General features: G+C 45.5%; 1 long non-coding RNA gene across 1 annotated transcript in view, besides 1 other annotated feature; it reads right to left on the reverse strand.

Annotated features, from left to right (window-relative positions):
• Nucleotides 1-657: 657 nt before the first annotated feature.
• Nucleotides 658-24,239, reverse strand: part of DDX11-AS1 (DDX11 antisense RNA 1) — a 53,085-nt gene continuing 29,503 nt past the window's right edge. The window contains exon 3 of the long non-coding RNA NR_038927.2: nucleotides 658-1,924. This is a non-coding gene — a long non-coding RNA (DDX11 antisense RNA 1). The remainder of the gene's footprint in view (nucleotides 1,925-24,239) is intronic.
• Nucleotides 8,681-8,910: a silencer, noted in NCBI's record as "fragment chr12:31181720-31181949 (GRCh37/hg19 assembly coordinates)". NCBI's record gives its function as "represses an EF-1alpha promoter that drives an FKBP-Casp9 reporter gene in an ReSE screen in K562 erythroleukemia cells {active_cell/tissue: K562}" and the evidence as "EXISTENCE:reporter gene assay evidence [ECO:0000049][PMID:32094911]".

Consider the following 24,239-nt stretch of genomic DNA (forward strand, 5'->3'; position numbering starts at 1 on the left):
TTAAGATTACTTTCAGCTGTGCCCAAAAGAAACCCGACCACAGGGCTCAAGCACCGGGGTTCATATTCTCCACACAACAGGAGAAAGGAGGTCGGTAGCCCAGGGCGGACATGGTGGCTCCATGATGCCTTCAGGAACCCAGGACTTCCTTCTACTCTGCCTGAGCACGTGGGTTTCAGCCTAAGAGTTGTAATATGTGTCCCCATTCGCAGGTGCTGCATAGGAGTCCCAGGCAGGAAGTAGGCAAGCACATAGAAAAAGGGTAAAAGGCAGAAATGAGGCCAATCTCTTCCTTTTTAAAAGGAGATTCCTAAGAATCTCTGCCCAGCTGCTTCCTCTTACATCTTATTGACCGGCACTGGATCACACGAGTGCTTCTAGCTGCATGGGAGTCTTGGGATTCTAACAGGAGGAAGGAGAGGGCAGGCAGAGGGCAGCTGTGCAGCTTCTGCTGGAGACACCAAACCGTTGGTGGAGGGATTGGGGTGCTCAGAGAAGGCTTCCTGGAGGGTGTGACGGCAGAGATGAACTTAAAGGCCAAGTGGGGGTTACCCTGGGGAAGCAGGGCAGGGTTACAAGCATTCCAGGGACAGGAGGCAGCATCAGTGTTTTAATGAAAAGATGGCAGTTCCTATAACAAACTATAAACAATCAAATAAAGGCTTAAACACAATGGAAGTTTATTTCTCAATAACGGAAAGTCCAAATCCATGATGCTTTAAGTCAGGGACCCAGGTTCCTCCCATCGATGCCTCCCAATCTGCCATTGCTAACCTGGGGCTTCCACGATGGTCACACTCCTTGGAAGTGAGAAGAGCAGACAGAGGACATGTGGGAGGTTTGAGGGACAGGCCTGGAAGCAGCATGTGTCACTCCAGTGCAGAGTCCATTGGCCTGCGCCGGCTCCAATGGCTACCTCTCACTGCAGGGGCAGCGGGGAAATACAGCCTGGCTGTCTACCCAGGAGGAAGAGTAGCCAGTTTCTGCCACAGTGATAAGGTTAGAAAATGTTCAGTCGGGTGTGGAGTGATTATTTCTCCTGTGTACACAGCAGGTGGAGAGGGGAAGGTGCCCTAGATATTGGACAAGAAAACTAAAGTCATTGGAAGTTTGTCTTTTGCTCTAAACTTAAGGCCTTGGCTCTCTCATTTGTAAATCAGGCTCTTGGTGAATTTGGTTAGCATGAATTCATTCTCCAGCACCAACTTACTCCAAAGTGAGCTAGACTTGATGAGCTTCTCCAGACTAAGCACGAGATCTTCAGCTCATGAGTCTATCACGTGCAGTCTTCTGAGTCCCAGCTGCATCCCCCAGCTCACCTTCTTCATTTCTTGGTATGAAAATAAATCTGATTAGAGAGTCCACTGAAAACAACGTCCTCCACAGTAGCAGCTTCAGTTGGAAGAGATCTTTGTACACATCTAGTCTGATCCCTGCCCCATTAGAGGTCCCATAAGTGATGATCTAAGCCAGCAGTGAGCTTATCACCTCAAAATTTATTCTCTTTGGGATAGATCTAATTGTGAAAATCTGTTTTTCTTTATATACTGAGCTGAAATTTTTCAGTTTGTAAGTTCATTTCTCTAGAGCTACACAGGGTAAATGTACTTCAGCCACAGGAAAACCTTTTGAAACATTACACTTGCAGGAATTATAAACAAAATGTAAACATTCCTTACAATGAATTTCTCCTTTTCTTAACCATGTAAGGACTGTTCAATTTAAGACAAGAATATGATTGAGTGACTTTTGTATTGTAGGCAGAGGAATGAGGCTGACTGGAACAAGAGCTGAGCTTGTCTTTTAATCTTCTATTACACGGTGACTATCAGGAGCTGTGAAGGTTCTGAAATTTGACCTTATTTGCAAAGTTAACAAGTGAGTCTGCCATAGTTTCAGGATGCTGGCAGAAGATGTGAGATTCCTGGGTTAGAGATAAAGGGTGGTTAATTACTCATAGCAATAGCAGTAGCCTGAGCACCATCATTTTCTTGTGCTGGTTCCCCAAGTCCCAATTCATGGGAGACAAGCAGAGCCAGGTGACAACTCCATATACAGGGTGTGTTACAGGAGAGGAGCCCTGAGTTTAGGAAACCCCAATCTTTTATTATGGGCCATAAGTAAACCTGCTGAGCTTTGCCTAGGGGAAAACATGATCTTTATTGTACCGAACAGCAAACAAACCAGTCATTTCCTCCGGAGGGAGACACTACCTCTGTTTTCCAAGGCTGATCTCATGCAAACATCCTTGAAAAGATTATCCAGAGCAAAGACAGCCAGCTCTGCTGCTTGTAATATGTGCAGAAACAAGAGGCCCCTGGAGAAATGTCTCCCATTAGCATTCACGTTTGACTTCATTTCAACTCTTTCATAAAATATGCAAATCACCTAAACCTGTGCACTTATTTTTCTAAACCTCCCACCAAACCAAAATTCCATGCTAAAAGATACAGGAGCTATTACAGAAAAAGGAAAAGGGAAGGTGGGAGCTACATTATCTCATTATTTCCCTACTCAATTTTATTTACAAGTTTCTCTATTCTTTTCATTCACATCCAAGAGAGTGCTTTTCCTCCAAATAATGCAGATAGAAGAAACTGATTGGTAGCAATGCATGAATTCAACTGAAACTTTATATAGATTATATAAAAACTGGAAGCTTTGGTGGAGGGATCATGACAGACGAGAGGCAGGACTAGATTGCAGCTCCAAACAGAGCAGCATGCGAAGGCTTGCATTGTGAATTTTAGCTCCAGATTGACTGCAAGAACAGACTAGCAATCCTGAGAGGACCCACAGACCCTCTGAAAGAAGCAGACTGCTCCTGTAGGACCCAGGAGACCCTCAAATACTGTGAGTGCCCCAATGTGGAAGTGGGAAAGGGAGACCCTCCTCTCCCGAACACACACCCCTCACTGGAGAAGTTTCTGACTTTACCTGGAGGTGAGTCAAGTTAGAGAGCTGAGCCAAGCAAAATACAAGGGTAGAGGAAGCAGCAGAAAGGCGCTGGGAGCTCGCTGGATACCCAAGCAGCCCATTCCTGCCTGGTACCACAGGGATCCATCAGGAGGGTGGCAGAGGAGCAGGAGATAAAACTCCATAGGAAGGAGGACTTCTCTAGCTGAACTTTGTTACAATTTGCACGGGGCAAGAAGCCTCCTGGCCAGAACTCGGGGAAGGGCGTGAATCCGGCTTGCAGACTTCACAGACGGGGGAAGAACTAAAGCCCTTTTCTTTGGCAGCTGGGAGGTGGAAAGCCTGGGGCAAGTTTTCAAGTCCGACTTGCCCTCCACCCGGAAACAGACTCAGGGCTGTTCGTGGTGGGGCATGGTGGGAGTGAGACCAACCCTTCAGTTTGTTCTAGGGCCCCTGCCCACCACTGGTCCCTTGCCACACTAGTACAGCTGATGCTTTCTGGAAAATGCCACCTCTTGGCAGAAGGCCAACCATCACAAAAATAGAGTATTAAATCCCCAAAGCTAAGGTCCTTCACAGAGTCCACTGCACCCTCCGCCACCTCCACTGAAACAGGCGCTGGTATCCACGGCTGAGAAACCCATACATGGTTCACATCACAGGACTCTGTGCAGACAACCCCCAGTGCCAGCCCGGAGCTGGGTAGACTCACTGAGTGGCTAGACCCAGAAGAGAGGAAACAATCACTGCAGTTCAGCTCACAGGAAGCCACATCCACAGGAAAAGAGGGAGAGTACTACATCAAGGGAACACCCTGTGGGACAAAAAAGTCTGAACAATAACCATCAGCCCTAGACTTTCCCTCTGACACAGGCTACCCAAATGAGAAGGAACCAGAAAAACAACCCTGGTAATATGAAAAAACAAGGCTGATCAACCCCCCTCCAAAATTCCCACTAGTTCAGCAGCAATGGATCCAAACCAAGAAGAAATCCCTGATTTACCTGAAAAAGAATTCAGGAAGTTAGTTATTAAGCTAATCAAGGAGAGACCAGAGAAAGGCGAAGGCCAATGTAAGGAAATCCAAAAAATGATACAAGAAGTGAAGGGAGAAATATTCAAGGAAATAGATAGCTTAAAGAAAAAACAATAAAAAAAATTCAGGAAACTTTGGACACACTTTTAGAAATGCAAAATGCTCTGGAACATCTCAGCAATAGAATTGAACAAGTAGAAGAAAGAAATTCAGAGCTCGAAGACAAGGTATTTAAATTAACCCAATCCATCAAAGACAAAGAAATAGAATAAGTAAATATGAACAAAGCCTCCAAGACCGCCTGGTATTATGTTAAATGACCAAACCTAAGAATAATCAGTGTTCCTGAGGAAGAAGACAATTTTAAATGCTTGGGAAACATATTTGAGGGAATAATTGAGGAAAACTTCCCTGGCCTTTCTAGAGACCTAGACATGCAAATACAAGAAGCACAAATTTGGGAAATTCATTGCAAAAAGATCTTCACCTAACCACATTGTCATCAGGTTACCCAAAGTTAAGATGAAGGAAAGAATCTTAAGAGCTATGAGACAGAAGCACCAGGTAACCTAATCTATAAAGGAAAGCCTATCAGATTAACAGCAGATTTTTCAGCAGAAACCCTATAAGCTAAAAGGGATTGAGGCCCTATCTTCAGCCTCCCCAAACAATTATCAGCCAAGAATTTTGTATCCAGTGAAACTAAGCATCATACGTCAAGGAAAGATACAGTCGTTTTCAGACAAACAAATGCTGAGAGAATTTGTCCTTACCAAGCCATCACTACAAGAACTGCTAAAAGGAGCTCTAAATCTTGAAACAAATCCTGGAAACACATCAAAACAGAACCTCTTTAAAGCATAAATCACAAAGGCCCTATAAAACAAAAATACAAGTTAAAAAGCAAAAACAAAAAAACAAAAATAAACAAAGTAGGCAGGCAACAAAGAGCACGATGAATGCAACAGTACCTCACATTTCAATACTAACATTGAATGGAAATGGCCTAAATGCTCCACTTAAAAGATACAGAACCACAGAATGCATAAAAACTCACCAACCAACTACCTGCTGCCTTCAGGAGACTCATCTAACACGAGGACTCACATAAACTTAAAGTAAAGGCGTGGAAAAATGCATTTCATGCAAATGGACACCAAAAGCAAGCAGGGGTTGCTATTCTTATATCAGACAAAACAAACTTTAAAGCAACAGCAGTTAAAGGAGACAAAGAGGGACATTATATAATGGTAAAAGGCCTTGTCCAATAGGAAAATATCACAATCCTAAACATATATGAACCTAACACTGGAGCTCCCAAATTTATTAAACAATTACAAACAGACCTAAGAAATGAGATAAACAGCAACACAATAATAGTGGGGGACTTCAATACTCCACTGACAGCAGTAGACAGGTCATCAAGACAGAAAATCAACAAAGAAACAATGGATTTAAACTGTATCTTGGAACAAATGGACTTAACAGATCTATACATAACATTTCATCCAACGACCACAGAATACACATTCTATTCAACAGCAATGGAACTTTTTCCAAGATAGACCATATGATAGGTCATAAAATGAGCCTCAATAAATTTAAGAAAATTGAAATTATATCAAGCACTCTCTCAGATCACAGTGGAATAAAACTGGAAATCAACCCCAAAAGGTACCTTTGAAACCACGTAAATACATGGCAATTAAATAACCTACTCCTCAATGAACATTGGGTCAAAAATGAAAACAAGATGGAAATTTAAAAATTCTTCGAACTAAATAACAATAATGACACAACCTATCAAAAGCTCTGGGATACAGCTAAGGCGGTGCTAAGAGGAAAGTTCACAGCCCTAAATGCCTACATCAAAAAGCCCGAAAGAGCACAAACAGACGATCTAAGGTTACACGTCAAGGAACTAGAGAAACAAGGACAAACCAAACCCAAACCCAGAAGAAGAAAGGAAATAACCAAGATCATACCAGAACTAAATGAAATTGAAATAAACAACAACAACAAAAAATATCTCTACTTTGATGATTTTTTTTTTTTTTTTCTGAGATGGAGTCTTGCTCTGTCACCCAGGCTGGGGTGCAGTGGTGCGATCTCGGCTCACTGCAAGCTCCGCCTCCCGGGTTCACGCCATTCTCCTGACTCAGCCTCCTGAGTAGCTGGGACTACAGGCGCCCGCCACCACGCCTGGCCTCCTTTGATGATTTTAGGTCGTATCCCTGGGCTATGGATTCCTGTTAATCTGCCCGAGGCTTGGGCTGCCACACCTGCTTTGCATTTTGTGAAACTTCTTCTAACTTAGCTTACTCATCACGTCCATAGAGCCTTAGGCATGATAATTTTTGCTACTGTTTCCTTGGTCACACTAATGTCTTCTGTTGTGATGTCCTATGTAGCTTTGCATATTGCTATTCAAACAGCTCAGTATGTGGAGAACTGGACACACACAGCCAACCAAGCGTGGCTACTTCAGAATGGAATTAACACTGAGCTACAAACTGAAGTGGCAGTGTTGAAATCCATGGTTCTATGGTTAAGGGAACAAGCACAAAGCTTGCAGTTGCAGCAGCAATTGCATTGTCCTTTTAATCACACTCATATTTGTGTAACCAACTTAGAATACAACCGAAGTGAGTATCCGTGGGACCTTGTGAAAGCCCATTTGCAGGGAGCTTTCACATCCAACGTCACCTTTGATATTGGTGAATTACAAAACAACATTATTAATTTAAATGGGCAAACATAAGACTTTCAGCCTTCTTTAGAAGACTGGACCGAATTCCAGCAAGGCCTGGAGAGCCTCAACCCTTGGACCTATCTAAGGCACCACATTAACATCTTATATGTAGGTCCTGGAATAATGTTTTGTCTCTGTCTTCTGTTCATAGTCTGTAAAATCAGATGGACCATCAATCGGAAAATGAGAGCTGCCCAGTCTGGCCTTACATTCTTTCAATTAATACATAAACACAAAGGTGAGATGTTGGGAGCCAAAAAGGCCAAAGTGATTGTGACCAACTCACCATTCCACTGGAGGCTATATGATCAAACAGCAAACTGTTTATCATGAATGCAGGATGTGAGCAAACTCACATTGTGCCCGCTGCCAAAAGGTTTGCTGAGGGCCTCACTCCCTGGTGCCGGGCTCCTTGAAGTTATCTACTGGGAAATCTAGCACCTATTGTTCAAAGAATGCAGTCTTGCAAGCCTGCTGTGAATCTAACCGCCAGCTGAAAACCAGCCCCCGACTTCTCGCTATCTCTTTTGTCTAATAAATATGGAGGGCTGTGTAAAGCTCAGGGCTCTTGTCCACTAGAGGCAAGGTGCCCCCTGACTCCTTCTTCTAAACATATTCTTTCGTCTTTGTCTTTTATTCCTGCATTCGCCCCCATTTGTTCAGTTCCCCCAAGGTCTGGGCAGGTTACAAATCGCCACTAAAGAACTTACTCATGTAACCAAATACCACCTGTACCCCAATAACTTATGGTAAAATAAAATAAAATAATAAAAATTGAAAAAAAAACTAGAAGTTTTATATGACAAAAGATAAAATGAAGGACTGCATTAGAAGTCAGGTGAGAGACTTGGATAAAACATTTGCGACTTTTTAAATAGACCAAAGATTAATATCCAGGCTATTGCTCCTAACTGTCCCCCATCTGCAAAAAAATACCGACAAGCCCATAGAAAAAGGACAGAGAATCTGAATTAGTAATTCCTAAAAAGGGAAATGGAATGGGCTGATAATCTTTGAAGACGTGTTTAACCTCAAGCATTCAGCAGGTAGAAGCACATTTAGGGAATGAGATAGCCTCAATATATTGGTAAAAATGTAAAAGGCTGATAATAGCTGGCCTTGGTGAGGTTAGAAATAAGCACTTTCAATGTGAGGGATGGTAATATAAATTGACACAACCTTTTTGGAGGTCAGCTTCTTAGTTGAATCTCATGAGAATGCTACTTTAATATTTCTGGTAATAGTAAAATATTGGAAATAATGTAAGTAGCCATCAATAGGTAGATAGTTAAATAGACTATGATATGTCCATATTATAAAATATAGCTATACAGCTATTTTTCTTTTTTTCTTACATTTCCTCTGACCAGCTTTAAAATATATATGTAAATTCCCTTTATAATTTATTTTATTACAATTTATTTTTTTTTTTAGAGACAAGGTCTCGCTCTGTTGCCCAGACTGAAGTACAGTGACCTAATCATAGCTCACTGTCACCTCAAACTCCTGGTCTCAAACTGCCTTCCCACCTCAGCCTCTAAAATAGCTGGGATTACAGGTGCTCACCACCATGTCTGGATAATATTTTTATTTTTTTGTAGAGTTGGGGGAGTCTCACAATGTTGCCCAGGCTGGTTTCAAACTCCTGGCTTCAAACAATTCTCTCACCTCAGCCTCCCAAAGCACTGAGATTATATTAAATAGGTGTGAGCCACCACACCTAGCCTATGCAGCTTTAAAAAGAATGGAGAGTCTATTTATAGATTTTAAAATATCCCCAAGAAATGATACTAATTAATAAAATGAAGTTGCCAAGCAATACTTGTAGTATGATCTTATTTTTTCTTAAGAAATCCAAAACATATTTTTTTTTTGAGAGACTCTGTCGCCCAGGCTGGAGTACAGTGGCACAATCTCGGCTCACTGCAAGCTCCGCCTCCCAGGTTCATGCCATTCTCCTGCCTCAGTCTCCTGAGTAGCTGGGACTACAGGCGCCCACCACCATGCCTGGCTAATTTTTTGTATTTTTAGTAGAGACGGGGTTTCACTGTGTTAGCCAGGATGGCCTCGATCTCCTGACCTCGTGATCTGCCCGCCTCGGCCTCCCAAAGTGCTGGGATTACAGGCGTGAGCCACCGTGCCCGGCCTAAGAAATCCAAAACATATTTCTACATGTAAATGCCAAGGTATGTACACACATATAACAGGCACAGAAGATTACACACCAGCCGCCAATGTTCACTAGCTCTGAGGAGGAGTGTAACAAGCCCCTCAGGGACCAGCGGTGTAACTCCAGATGAAGAAACAGGTAGAATTTTAGAACAACCACATGGGAGAGAAAAGTAGGATTTTCATGAAATCCTCCCATTTTTGCACAGCACAGAACTAACTGGCTTTCTGAGACTAGGGCTTCCTAATGACAAAGAGAGAGAAACATACTGAAATCAAGAAAGAGATCAAAGATGATTAAGAGAACACAGTAATTCTGGAGATTGAAGAAGCCAGCATACATATTATAGAGATGCTCTAGATTCTCGGTGACCTGGGAATTAAGGTGTCACAAAACACCTGCTCAAGGAAGACTTACCAGAGGTTCCCAAAGTATGGTCCTGGACAGGTGGTGTCATCGCCAGGAAAGTTAGAAATGTTATAATGCAAATTCACAGACCCTGACCCAGACTTATTGAATCAGAAACTTGGGTGTGGGGCCCAGCAAGGTTTTAACGAGCCTTGCAGGGATTTGATGTTCACTTAGGTTTGACAAACACAACTTCAGACGGGTGCTTCTAAAGTTAAACACATGCGAATCACCTGGGAGAGTGTGAAACAGCGCGTTCCGATTCAGCAGGAAAGCCGGGGAGCCTGAGGTTCCGCATTCTCACAAACTCCCAGGTGATCCTGCTGCTGCTGCTTCTCAGCCGCACGCTGAGTCACTTTTGAAAGAAGATGGAGTGAGCATTTAATGACTGGAAGGCTTCACAAGGAAATAGTCCAGGAAAACACAAATAGCAGCATCAGTTTATCTCCACTGGCATTTCGAAGAATAGGAGCAAAAAAAATGCCGCTCTCTTTCAGTGGCGTGTTGCCTGGTGTTCTGTGGATGCTTTCACCAACAGCAATATCTGTGCATGTCTATAACTGAAAGCTGCAAGCATTACTTGCTACCCCTAATTTTTGTTAACCACTTCTCTTTGCAGATGCAGAAGCTGAGGCTAGCACACAGACCTATTTTTGTTCCAATGTCACAGAGGCCTTGGACAGACTGAGTTGGCAAGTCTCCTGACTGCGTGGCTGGAGCGCTTCTGCAGGGCCCTTGAGGCTGTTTTCGTCAAGCCACAGTGGGAAGTAGTGACAGAGCACATGAGATTGACATTGCTGTGGCTCAGTCATCAAAACTGGACCAGCTCAGTCTCCAGGCTCACTGGTGAATAATAGGAATCTTTGTCGTCCTTTCCATCAGAAAGCATATTACTTAAAACCCCTTGCTAACTCACAGGGTGAGCTGTCCTGTCACACATCATCATATGGAATGGAAACTAGCAACTGAATATAGCAACACTCAGACTGATAACTTGCTCCACGGATAACTTGTTTGTTTACCGACTCTGGGGATGGAGAAAGACACATTACTCAAATAACAAATGCCATTTCCCCTGCACACCCTGGAAAGAGTGCTGCACCTGCAGCCTGTGGTTTAACTGTAGCAATGCAGGTGAGCAACTCAAGTGCATTTCTGTGATGGCAAACAGCAAGGTGGGCATAGTGAGTAGTGAGTTTCCTGGCTTATGGGGAGCAATCAGAATTATGGCCTGAATGCAACACTCAGCAAACTCAGACTGAGATGTTTACAGGCCAGCCCAGCCCAGGAGGAGGAAGGGGCTTTTATTCCTAAATCAAGAAGTGTCCAGAAAAAGGGAAATAAGGCTTAGGTGTGTTATGCTGAATTTTGGGCACCTGTCCCCACCAATAACTTGGCATCCTGAAAATGCTACAGCAGGACTCCAAGGGCCAAGAATGCCTGTTCTCTACACAGCTGAGGGATGGCCAGTGGCCTCATTGCAGAGCTGCCACTCAAAAACTGAAAGATGCCAAAAGGGAAGAGCTTGCTCCATGGATAACTTGTTTGTTTACCGACTCTGGGGATGGAGAGAGACACATTACTCAAATAACAAATGCCATTTCCCCTGCACACCCTGGAAAGAGTGCTGCACCTGCAGCCTGTGGTTTAACTGTAGCAATGCAGGTGAGCAACTCAAGTGCATTTCTGTGATGGCAAACAGCAAGGTGGGCATAGTGAGTAGTGAGTTTCCTGGCTTATGGGGAGCAATCAGAATTATGGCCTGAATGCATTGGCACAACTCTGCCTGCAGTCCAGGAAGCTTTTCTGTTGTAAAGGTCTCCTTTCTAGACCACCTTTGAAGTCATAAATTAGCTGAAGTGGAGTTGGTGTGCACTTGCTGGATCTGGTGGTGTGTGCTTGGATGCCTAAACAAGAGGAGTTGCCACTACTCATTTTAGCCAAAGACTCAGCCAGAATCCTATGCTTTAGTGGGACTGGGAATGTGATGGTGAGAGGGAGGTAAGAGGATGAGTCTTGCACAAGCTAGACTCATTAGTCACATCTTTCCCAACCTTTGATGTGCCTGGTAAATGATGTCCGCCCAAGTGCTGTGAGGGCTTGTCTTCAACAGGAGCCCAGATCTGCTGCTGCAGGAGGGGAGATGAGGAGCCTTGCAGCCCTAAGGGAAGGTGCTGAATACCACTCTCTCTCTCTCTCTCTCTCTCTCTCTCTCTCTCTCTCTCTCTGTGTGTGTGTGTGTGTGTGTGTGTGTGTGTGTGTGTGAAAGCACCCACTGTTCAGATTCAGATAAACACGTTTCAGCTCTAGCACACCCACGAGTACCTGTTCTCCTCCCTTGCACAACAGCAGCTTACAGAACAGAGAACAAAACTTGAACTGTCATAAACTGTGCTCTGAGGGGAGGAAAAGGCTGGCTGACAGTGGGAGCTACTCCTGCTCAGAAATGAAGGGGAGGGACTCTGTTTTCTTCTGAATATAAAACCCTAGTGAATTTCCAATAATGCTGGGTGATGACAGGAAGGCATCAAAGCCCTAAAGGCTGGTAACCGAGCTGCCAAGCCAGGCTCTCCACATGCCGACATTAAGAGCAGTGGCAAGGCATTAGCATCTATCCTGCCCCTGCCAGGCCCTGTCTTTATCTCCACTTTCCTCCCTTCCCTTTTTCTGCTGCTTCCTCTTCTCTCTTGTTTCCTCTCCCCTTTCTAGACCTAAAAGCAAAGAGTGTCACCCTCCAGATGTCCCTTGGCTACACCGTGGCCCTGGGTTAAGGAGGTAACTGGTTCTCCACAGCTCACAAGAAATGGGCCAGGGCCAACACGCATGTGGCCTTGAGCCTAATGCCAGCCTGACCACTGTGCGGGTTGTTGTCTATTTTCAGTGCCTGGATTCTCCTCTAAAGATGAGGATAATGGTCCCTCCCTCCCACACCTTCACAAGGATGATTCCAAGGACAAGCAAGATTGTTCTTCAGAGCACGCCTCAGAGGAAGGGCATGGTGTGAGTGCTGGGCATTGTTAGGATTGTTCGTTTACCTTCCAGGGTCCCTCGCTGGAAGTGACAGGGGTGTGCACTTACAAAATCATTCTTGACCCAAAGTACCTCTTTTAAAGATGCTTGCCTTTAAAAGAAGACAAGTAGTTTTTGCTCCCATGATATCTCAAGTGGCACTTAGATTGCCGGGGGCCTGTTGTCCAGTAAGTAATGTCACCTAGCGGGATTATGACTGGTTTGGAGTCTGGGTCTGAGAACTGGGGTAAACCACTTCTTCATGTCTTAGTCCCCTCATGCATAAAACAGAGGGATCGCACAGGGTGATCACTAAAGGACCTTCCAATGTTAAGATTTAAAGGGTAAACGGCTCTTTGATAAAGACAGATCATAGAAAAGTAAGAACCACACAGCTTAACCTTCCAGGGGACAATTAAGATGCTTTAATGTGAAGTGAATGACGATGTGGTAGAGTATGATGTGAATGTAATAGCATAGGAAGGCCGGAGGGCATGGGGGCCTCTCAACCTCATACTCTGTACTAGATGCGGCATCTGGAGCATCTCAAGAGGGGCTAAGAGATTCAGTCCTCACCCCAGCTCTGAAGATGTCTCAACTGTGAAAAAGAGACAGGGAGTCCCTGACTCTCTGTCTGCTCCTTCACTGGTTACTCCCATGTTGGAAGGCAGGGGAGGAGGAAGGCCCCAGCATCTTCCATCACTGCTGCAGACACCAACCAACCCTCCTTCCTCCCACTCCTCTGCTTCAACTCTCACCTGAGTCCCCACCCCAAACAGCCCTCTGCTAGCCATTAGGTGTTAGCTGCACTTCACCTGCAAAAGGCCTTCCTTTGCCAGTTTTTGTCAAAAATGTTAGCATAGTGTTTGCATAAATTTGCAGGTTTGATTCAAGAAGCCCTGATTCCAATAGTGTAGGAGAAAATACACTGACTGCACCTGGAGTCAAGGAGGCTTTCAGGAGGGCACACTTGATTCACCACACAGGGCTCGAAGAGGCACTCAGTATGTGAGGCTGGGATGCCCAGACAGAAGCTTCCCCCACGATCCAGGAAATCAAAACGTTTTCAATGTTGGCTTGAAATCATGGCTAATAGGAATAAAAAAGCTCTTCTCACCCTGGGGAAGACTGGGGAGGTAGGGAGGGGAAGAGTTCCCAACTATTCCATCCAAGAGGGGGCAAGGAAGGACAGTGGCAAGCCCAAGTCTGGAGCTATTTCCTCCCAATAGTGAATGTCTGGTAACTTTACCCAGAAGTTCTGATTTTTCTCGTTAGTCAAACAGGACTCTGACTTCCAAGATTAGGCTAAATCCAGAGCAGTTTGGGGAATGAAGGAATCTGGCTGAACAATGGAAGTTGGAATCATTGCCCTACCATCAGCAACTCCTTAACAGAAACAAACTCCTCTGCCCACTCGTCATATCCACAAACTATTTTCATAGAAGAGAATGTCCCAGCTAGAAATGCAAGTGGACGAGTGCCAACCCAATGAGGCTAATGATTTGCAAGTGGAGACCTCTGAGCAACTTGGTAAAGAAAGCAGGGCTTGGCCTTCGCCCGGGAGGCTTGGGACCCCTGACCACCCCCTACCCCATCACCAATAAACCTCTCAGAAGGAGGAATTCTGTGACAGCCCTCAGAAGAGAGTGGCTATCCACTGGCCACAGCGATGACTAAAGCGAGGTTCATGCCACAGAAGAACACAAAGGTCACCAAAGCTGTCTAAAGCAGACACTGAATTTATTATTCGCCGAAGAAGGGGAGACACTCATTTCGTTAAGAAAGGTCAGAACAGCTCTCCAAACTGAAGGTGAATAGGACAGATACACTGTGGAAAAGAGGACATTTTGTTCAAAGGTCTGATTGGCTCAAAAAGCAAGTTGTAAACTCTCTTCTGGGACTGACTGCTTTTCTGACTTTGTGTCACAGAGGCATGAGAACAGCTCGTGGGAGATTCTGGATGGATCTGACCTGTGGTGCACGGCCCTGGCAGCCTGGTGTCTGTGCCTCCTCTCGAGGTGAGATTTTTCTCTGGCACCCACTTGGGTTAAGGTGAGGAACCCTGGAGCCCATGGGCCTGCTGCATGGCTCTGCACCCATCACCCGGCTCTCTGATCCTCACTGCCTAGGATGGAGAGATATGCAGCCCTCCTGGCTGCAGGTATGAGGAAACCACATGAAAGCTGTTCCAGAAATTTGTTGGCATGTGGCCATCATATCTTCTAACCAGGAAAACTGAGTCACAGAGCTCCAAGCCCCAGTAAGTTGGAGGATACATTACTAAAATGCTCCTGAATAGGCAAAAAATAAAAAAAAATTAAAAAAATAAAGAAAAGAAAAAGAAAAAAAAAGGCAAACTGGAAAGAGCTAACCCCAAATTAATCATGTCTAAATCCCAGTGGTAGGTTTGCAGGAGATTTCTAACTTCTCTTCTGTATTGATTTTCTGTATTAATCTTTTCTGTGTTGGTGTTCTGTATTCTCCAAATTCTTTACTATGTGTGGTTTTGAAATCATATTTTTTTAAAATTTGATTTTTAAAGGATGAGCTCCAGGTCAAGGTTGCTATTAAGTCAAAGGTATGCATAGTTCTGGCACAGTGACTCAAGCCTGCAATCTCAGAACTTTGGGAAGCTGAGGCAGGCAGATCGCTGGAGGCCAGGAGTTTGAGACCAGCCTGGGCAACATAGAGAGACTCCATTTCTACTAAAAACTTAAAAAGTTAGCTGGGCATGGTGGCATGCATGTGCAGCCCTAGCTACTCAGGAGACTGAGGCAGGAGGATTGCTGGAGCCTGGGAGTTTGAGGTTACAGTGAACTATGATCCCTCTACTGTATTCCAGCCTGGGTGACAGAGGGAGATCTTGTCTCTATTGAAAAATGATAATAAAAAAAAAGATCTGTGCTCAGCAAAGTCAGGATATTATCCCAGAATCGGAGTTGAGAATTCAGAGCTGGTGGCTACGTCTGGCAGCCCTATGCTGGCTAGAGCCCAGGGCTCCATCTCCAGCATCCCAGTCCAATTACCCTCTTCCTCCTTAGCAATGAGTAATACACCACCTCTTGAAGCCGCAGGCTGGTGTCTCCTCCTTGACAATTTCTTGTGCTTGCTGTTCTCCGCCTTGTTACCCAGTGGCCCTGTGCCACATCAAGGACTTAGGCTTTCTATTTCCTCCTAGGACCCTCCCTGAGTCCCCTCAGCCTCTTCACTTGCTTCTCCATGGCCCATCCCATCAGTTACTTCAGCAATCCCTCATCCCCTTGACCTCACCGTCTGCCCCTGGGGACAATCACAGGAGGACTCCCCTTGACTCAGTCCAGCTGCCACCTTCTCTGTCCTGTGTGGGGCGGCTGAGCGCTGCTGAGACCACATGGCCTCATGGATCTAGACGGGTATGAGCTCCTGGCCTCTGCTTCGTCCTTGGTGCTGCCCGTAAGTCCTGTGGTCTCTGGCCAGCTTTATGTCCTACTCCCCCAATGGCTATGACAGACCCTCGCCGGTCTCCTGAAGCTTTCTTTCCTACTGACTCGCCCCTCGCCAGCCCCAGCTCCCAGCGACCTTGCCCTCTGCTTCAAGGAAGATGAAAAGTTTCTTATGTGGGAGGAATGTTTGCACTTTCTAGACTCCCTCTGCAGAGACCCTCTTCCTGGCAACCTCTCCTTCTACAGCCATGGGCGGTGCTGACCAGGAGAGGAGCCACTGGGAGTCCTGCAGAAGGCCTCCTGGCAGCCACGGCCTCCCCACTGTCCCCAGCAGCAGCAGTGCATCTTCAGGCAGCTCTGACTGCTGGACCCTGCAGACTCAGACCCCCACCCCTCTGCAGCAGGAAGTTTACTGCTTCTGGGAACCCACAGGATGTGAGAGAAAACAACTCCATGGGGCTGGGAGCCTTGGGTTTGAAAGTTGGACCTGGCACCCACTGGCTTCACTTTCTTGAGAGTAGAGTGGAAGGCAATCCCGCCCAACCTCCCACACACCATGACAAGTGCCCGTGGGTAATAAATGGAAAAGTGCTTTGTAAAATGCTCCCCCTATGTGAAGGATTTATGCTATAAATCCTTAGAATGACTCATCTGAGCTCTTAACCTACTTTCTTAGCCCTTAAATGTTTGCTTTTCAACAGGGATTCCTGAGCCCTGGCTTGTTCTTGAATTTGCAGGAGCCACAGACCCTTCACCCCATGCCAACTGACCAGAGGCCTGATGCTCCTGCCCTCTTCTCTCCCTGCCACTCCAACCAGAAGACCTCTGGCCAGTTGCCATCCAGGGACCTGGCATGACCTCCCCAGCCTTTGAGGCAGTGATCTGGATGCCCAGAGAGTCAAATACAGAGAACCAGGGACTGGCACCCCAGCTGTGGGTTCTCAGAGTGGGCTCATGTGAAGGAGTGAGAAACAAGGAGCACAGGAACCTCTCTCTGGCAGCCCACCCCTCTGTGCCCACGGAACCCGCTACTGAGGGCTCAGCATGAGGACTGTGTGCAGCCTCTCCTGAGACCCTCACTCACCAGGTACTTGCAGATTTCCTCCAGGACCTACATGCATGTGGTCGCTGAGCGTGGCACGCAGCAATGGCTGGATGAGTGAGGACCAGCCAATCATGTCAGCCCACACCGCCAGAGCCTTTCCCCAGGCCTATGGGATGGAGAGAAGGGAGGCCTCAACCTCACTCCTGTGACTCTCCAGCCAAGGGGCTGAGTGGAAGCCCTTCCGTCATAAAGAGAGGGCAGATATGTTCAGAGCCACCCAGAGGACAATGTCAAAGAGGTGAATGTAGAGCCTACAGGCAAGGCTGGGCTCATGGAAATGGCCACAGGGAAGGGGCCCTGCTCTCAAGGAAAGGGGACACATATCAGGCCTGGCAGTGGCCAGACAAGTGACAGCCAGTGTACCTGGAGCACTTCCATGTTATTTTCCTGAATGCTGAGCACCAATGATATCAGAAGTGTGAAAAAATTTTGGGGGGTGATGCCTCCAGGCTTACATGTTTTTAGTTGCTGCAGCATGTGGCCCACAGCAGAGGTGGCTGAGATCCTCACCTTCTCCTGCTCCTGCCAGGAAGCGCAAAGTGGAGATGAGAGGCAGTGGCTTCCCTGGCCCTGCCTGGCCTGGCTTCCGTCCTTCCACATCTTGGTCTCTGTGTGCAAGGGGCCCCAGCTGTACTGTGCTTAGCTGATGCATAGACAACATGATGTGTGTATGTGAGGGGTTCTCTCTAGAGACCAAGAGCTAAGAAGCCCGTTGATGAAGGCACAGTGCTAGGAAATAAGGTCATCGTTTCAGTTCTACCGTGGACTATATCCGCAGCTTGTGACATTGTTTCCAAAGTGTTCAAGCAATTCTCCTGGCTCAGCCTCCTGAGTAGCTGGGATTATAGGCACCTGCCACCACACCTGGCTAATTTTTGTATTTTTAGTGGAGACAGGGTTTCACCATGTTGGTCAGGCTTGTCTCAAACCCCTGACCTCAAGTGATCTGCCTCCCAAAGTGTTCTGATTACAGGTATGAGCCACAGCGCCCAGCCCTGCACACCTTTAGACCAAGTATTCATGTCATCTACCTGCCTGTCCATCCACACACTTGGGTACTTACCTTCCTGACACTGGCTTAATCTGCTATTTTATTTTCTTGGCTACCTACTACCTATGAGTAGGTTTCCTTGCCTTCCCTTGGCACGCATGTCTTCTGACCTAGACCTCTGAGGTACCAGGGAATTTCCAAAGTTGCTTCCACAACTTCTTCCCACCTTCCTGATGGTTTACTCACAGCTTCAGAAGAAGCTCTGTGCTCCAGAAACTGGTCCCCACCCTCACCCTGACATATAAGCCAGAGACTTCACAGACTAAGAACAGGTCCCTTCCTCTTCTCCTCTTGTCCTCTTGCACCCTCTAGAGAGCTCTTTCCCTCCATCACTGGGAAGGTGTATGTTGGACGGGGTGGGAGGTTGAGGTAAGTGAGTCCCTGCCCTCCTGATAGGAGAGAATCACTTAATGACCAAAGCTCATTCGCAGATGCCTGGGGACTTTTCTTGGGGATGAGCCTTGGAACCTTCTCTTTCCAAAAGCCACAAGGAGAACTGGAGGAGATTTGTACCTTGGTCCTAATGACTGTGAGGTAGAACAACCCACAAAGGGTCATCAGGAAGCTGTGGGTTAAATCACATCTCTACAAACTGCCTCCAAGGAGCTTCCAGGTGGCAGTGGAGAAACATATCACCTGCCAGGGTACAGATGCCTGAGATGGAAGCATTAGTTTGATCAGAGAACAAGGGCAGCAGTGGGTGGGAGTGCTCTATGGATTCTTCATTCTCCTAATTCTTCTCACTGGACAGCACCACTTATGGGCCTGGTGTGGTGGCTCACGCCTGTAATCATAGCACTTTGGGAGGCTGAGGTGGGAGGATCACTTGAGCCAGGGAGGTCTATGCTGCAGTGAGCCATGATTGCGCCACTGCACTGCAGCCTGGGGGACAGAGTGAGACCCTGTCTCAAAAATAAAAAGGAGATTATGCAGAGGGTCTGAAACGAAAAAGTTTAGCTCTAGAGGTAGACAATAGAGCATGGCAATTGGAAGACTGAATGTGCTGAGCCACCCTGTACACAAGTCCCTATAAAAATCAGAAGATGTCATGGCAGGTGTGCCCAAGGACGTGTAGTTTTCTCCTCACGAAAAGAATGTCTTAAGCACTGTAAAGAGGTCAGTGCAGGGGTGAACAACACCAATTTAAGCATTGACATGTGTTGGGGTTTGTGACGGCTGTGAGAGATGCAACCATGACTGGAATTCCTCACTATTCCCAGAAAGCTAGTGTGTAGAAGGAGAGGATACAGCTGAGATTTGGAATGACATGTGGTAGGGAGAAGGGGGATGTATGCACGGGTACAGGAGGTCAGTGGGGAGGGGCTTGGGTTAGAGGTGAGGCAAGGGACAAGGGAGGCTTCTTGAGAAAGGGATGTCTGCACTGCATTTTGAAGAATGAGTGGGAATTTGGAGACTGAGTGTGAGAGGCACTGCAGGCAGTGAAGAACCTGCATAACATCCTCTGCCATATGCAGGGCAGGGACACCAAGCCACTCTTCTGCAGTATTGCCAGGCAGCTGCATCCACTGATTAATGATGTATGTGCCCAGGTCCCTAGGATCAGTTGGACACAATATGGGCTTAGCTTAGGATACTGGGTTAGGGCAAGGCACCGTGGTGCGAGGCCTAGGTCACCAAGGGACAGAAGAAAGGAGACTTGGCTACTTGAAGCTGAGCATAGGACATGTCCCAAATGCATTACTTACTCCATGCAATGGAGCACACACTCCTCCACTGACTCACCAGAATTTTCTGGAGGAGCCACTGGTACCCAAATAAGAAACCAACTGACTGATATGAAGATGGTTCTGACTCGAAGGATCTTATTCTGCAGACTCCACTCATGGAGTGAAGCGGGGAGAGAACAAGTGGCTCTACCCCCCTCCCAAATCATACAGAAGCCTTAGGATCCCAGGGTCCTCATGGCAAGAGAAACGTAAGACTCAGAAAGTTGAACTGACCAGACCTGTCCCACTCCTTCTCACATCTCATCTTCCTTGCAGGTGACACAAGTTTAGAGCTGGGAAGGACCTGACATCCCTGAGACACAGGTTTATGGGACTCCAGCTCTGGCATCTATAACTCTCTCAACTTGTGAGCCTTGGATTTCAACTATTTTTGTATTGGTCTCATCTCCTCTATGACTTTGGACACCTGCTGGTGGCAAGGCCAATGTCAGACTCACCTATCTTTCTGTTATGTTTAAAATTTACCATGTGTACTATACTTGACTTAACTAAGTCTGAAGATAATATCTTTTTCCTTCCTCCAAATGATACAATCCATGGATCTTTGAATGCTTGAATTCTGATCACAGCCTCCCACATGATATACTAATGTTGCCCAGTATTAAAATACTGGGCTAAAGCTCCACCTTTGTATTTAACCTGTAAATTTGCTCTTTATGTCATCATCTTCATGACTGTCATGATTTTGTACAGTTAATACTGGTTTAGATCTACCCATATGCTTACAAATTTCTTGGCTTATATTTCTTTCTTCCAGCTCTTTCCTCCCTTTTAGATTTATTTTGTTTTTCCTTCCTTTGTGGTTCCTTCAGTGAGGGTCTCTTAGTAGTAAACATTTTTAGTCTTTGAAAATGTCTTTATTTGGCCTTATATTTGTCTCTGCTTTCAGCAGTCTGTGATGTTTCTAGGCATACATTTCCTTGGTTTTAGTCTGTTTGAGGTTCACTGAGCAACTTTAATCTCTAAATTGATACCTTTCACCAAACTTGGAAAGTTTTTACTATTATTTCTAGAATTGTTGTTCAGCCCCACCATGCTCTTTCTCTTCTTTTAGGACTCTCACGACACAAATGTTACACCTTTTGTTATGGTCTCAGGTCACAAGATACTTTTGGTTTTGAATCATTTTTCTCTCTGTTCAGAGTGGATAATTTTTATTGATCTGTTTTCAAGTTCACTGATTCTTTCCTTTGGCATCTCCATTTTACTATGGAGCCTACCCAAGCTTATATTTTTCAGTTCTAAAGCTTTCCACGGTTTTTCTGTATGTCTTCTATTTCTTTGCTGAGACTATTTCTGTTATTTCAAGAGTGTTCACCGTGGCTTTTTGGAACACTTTGCACAGTAACCGCTTTAAAGTTTTTATTACATAATTCCAATCTCTTTCCCCTTGACTTCAGGGCATGTTCATTTTCTTCCCATGTGAGTTGAAATGTTCCTGGTCCTTTGCATGCTGAGTGATTATGGATTGAATCATAGACATTATGAATATGATATTATGTGACTGTGGGTCTTCCAAGAGTGTCCTGGTAATTTTAGCAGGCAATTGACCTATTTACCTTCAGGCTGCCAATCCTGTCAGCCGTCCGCGGGTTGTGATTCCAATGCCAGTTCTTGGTTCGAAGCCTCTGCTATTGTGCATTTGGGCCACCAGCCAGCCTGGGACCTGGATAGTAGTCCATCCTGTAGTTCAGTTCTCATTGTCTATGACGTGCTGGTCAGGGTCAGACCTGGGTATGTAATGAGCTCGGGAGTTCATAAACACCTTTATAGGATCACTTTCCTCCTCTCTGCCACCTCCCTGGTACTTTACAGTTCCCTGGGGCTCCCCTTCTTCAGTGGCCAGAAAGCTGGGGCTTTTGTTGCTCCACAGTGCCAGGCACTTCTGTGACTGTCCCCACATCTGGTGCTAAGTGGCAAGCGGCAGAGAAGAAATAAAGCAATGGGAATTTTCCTCATCCTCTTGGGCCCACAGTGACTGCAAATGGAGAGGAGGGCTTCCCTCCCTCAGTTTTGTTTTCTGCAGGTTCCCATGGGGCCTGCTTGGAGGCTGAGGCTTGAGAGACCGAGAGAAAAAGAAACGAGGGATTTCTTCACTTCCTTTGAGCATTGTGAAGTGTTTCTGGCTCCTTGGGTGTTACCTAGAGGGATTCTCTCAGAGCTCTCTCTGTATCCCGGTGCATACACCTCCGTTTCTGGTTGTGTGGCTTGCAGGCTGTGGATCCCAGGAGATATTACAACCCATGCCCTGGGGGGTTATTGGGACCAGTGATGCCCTCCAACCCCTAGTAGGTGGAGTGTCAGCAAACTTTTTGTTTTTGGTCCCTAGAGATTTCTCTTACTCTCCTGCAAGCTCAGCTATGCATATATATAATATTTTATCTAGTATATCAAGGTGTTTAGAGTAAGAAGGTTGTTATCTTCCATATTGCTGAATTTGGAAGTCAGGAGCTATAGTCCAAGTGAGAAGTACTAAGTGGCCATCACCTACACAGAGGCCACCTGGGGAAATGGTAAGAGCTGCACCACAGGGCCCCTCAGATGTGGGTGCTGGGTGCTGCTTTGCCATTCACCCAGTCATGTGGAGGGAGGCAGGGCACTGAGGCAAAGCTTACTGGTCTCATCATCTGTGAAACTTTCTTCTACTATTTTGGTTCACATGCCCTCTTTTCTCTTCTGTCTGTTCCATTTTTGGAATTTACTTGGATTTATTCTCTATGTTTCTTAATTTCTCTTCCATATTTCCCATTTCTTTGTCTACTTTGGAAGAATTTCTGGGCTGATTCACTTTTAACGAATTCACCCTTTAGTTGTGGTTATTCTGCTATTCAACCCACCTATTGAATTTTCATTTAACTTTTTGTTTTTCTAATGCAGAAGGTACTCTATATTTTTCTCTTCTGGATGATGTTGTGGTATCTTGATAGTTATTTCATTATTCTGTGGCGATATTGCCTGACCAGTGCCTGTATTGATTTATTTATTGATTTATATATAACTTCAAATTTTGAATTTCTAAGCACTTTAGGAACTGAACTCAATATCTTTTAAGAAAAAGTTTCTGGGGATTCAATAGTACTTTCTCTAAAGTTTTGTTCAGATTTTATTGTTAACTCCATCCTTGGATGGTGGGTTTTCTTTTGGTTTTGCTTGCTTGAAACAGGGTCTGGATCTGTCACCCAGGCTGGACTGCAGTGGCAGGATCATGACTCACGGCGGCCTTAACCTCCCAGGCTCGTGATCCTCCCACCTCAGCCTCCCAGCTGGTACTACAGGCACATGTCACCATGCCTGGCTAATTTTGCATTTTTTTGTAGAGATGGGGATCACCATGTTGCACAGTCTGGTCTTGAACTCCTGGGCTCAAGCAATACTGTGCCTCTGCCTCCAAAAGTGCTGGGATAATAGGTGTGAGCCACTGTGCCCGGCTGGATGCTGGGTGTTGTGTTTCTTGAACGTTTCCTTTCATCTGTAGTGCTGGTTTTCCTAAATGTATATCGATCCTTGGTAGTGACTTCTGGCATTTTTATACTAGAATTTCTTGGCTGGCCCTGTGTGAAAGCAACACCCGTGACTGCAGATGAATCTTTAGGATTCACAGTCAAATGGGTGAACATCCACCAGATCCACGATGAGGATATGCAGCTGATATGGGATGGTGAGTCTGGGCCTTGCACCTGGGTTCTGGGTGACACTAGGGGGCGGGGTGAGAGAGAATGGGGGATGAAGACATTTCTTAAGAACATGGTTCATCATTTTATTTTTACCATTATCAATGTCATATAGAAAAGTGGAAAATGGAGAAAAGTATTTGGAACGAATAAATTATACATTGTCCCACTAGTGAGATAAAAAGACTGCTAATATTTTGGGGATCTCCCCTTCCAGTCCATGAACATTTATAATGTGCTATAGGTGCTTACAGTGAAATGGTGTTCAAGACAGACACATCCCTGCTCTTCATAAACTTGCAGTTTTTTGTTTTTTATTGCACTGAACTCTTCTAACATTAATTTATATTTACAGAAGAAAATGCACAAATACAGTGTCTTTACAAAAGAGTAGAAATGTGACCAACAAGGGTAAAGTTGCACTCACCCCACTCCACCTCGCTCCTCTGCCCTCCTCCCCTGCCTGTTTGCTGTAGAGTCCTGTGTTCTTTGTCTTTATATACATTCTATAAATACACATATACAAATATAATTTTTATTTATTAGTAGTATTTCAATAGTTTTGGGGGAACAGGCTGTTTGCTTAGATGGATACATTCTTTAGTGGTGATTTCTGAGATTTTGGTGCACTCATCACCCAAGCAGTGTACACTGCATTGAATGTATAGTCTTTTATCCCTCACCACCCTCCCACCCCTTCCCAAGTCTCCAGAGTTCAGTGTATCTTTCTTATGCCTTTGCATCCTCATAGCTTAGCTCCCACTTATAAGTGAGAACATATGGTGTTTGGTTTTCCATTCCTGAGTTACTTCACTTAGAATAATGGTCTCCAACTGCATCCAGGTTGCTGCAAATGCCATTATTTTGTTACTTTTTTATGGCTGAGTAGTATTTTATGTTGTGTGTGTGTATATATATATATACACCACAATTCCTTTACTCACTCGTTGG

This window comes from Homo sapiens, chromosome 12 (assembly GCF_000001405.40).
Source record: "Homo sapiens chromosome 12, GRCh38.p14 Primary Assembly".
NCBI lineage: Eukaryota > Metazoa > Chordata > Mammalia > Primates > Hominidae > Homo > Homo sapiens.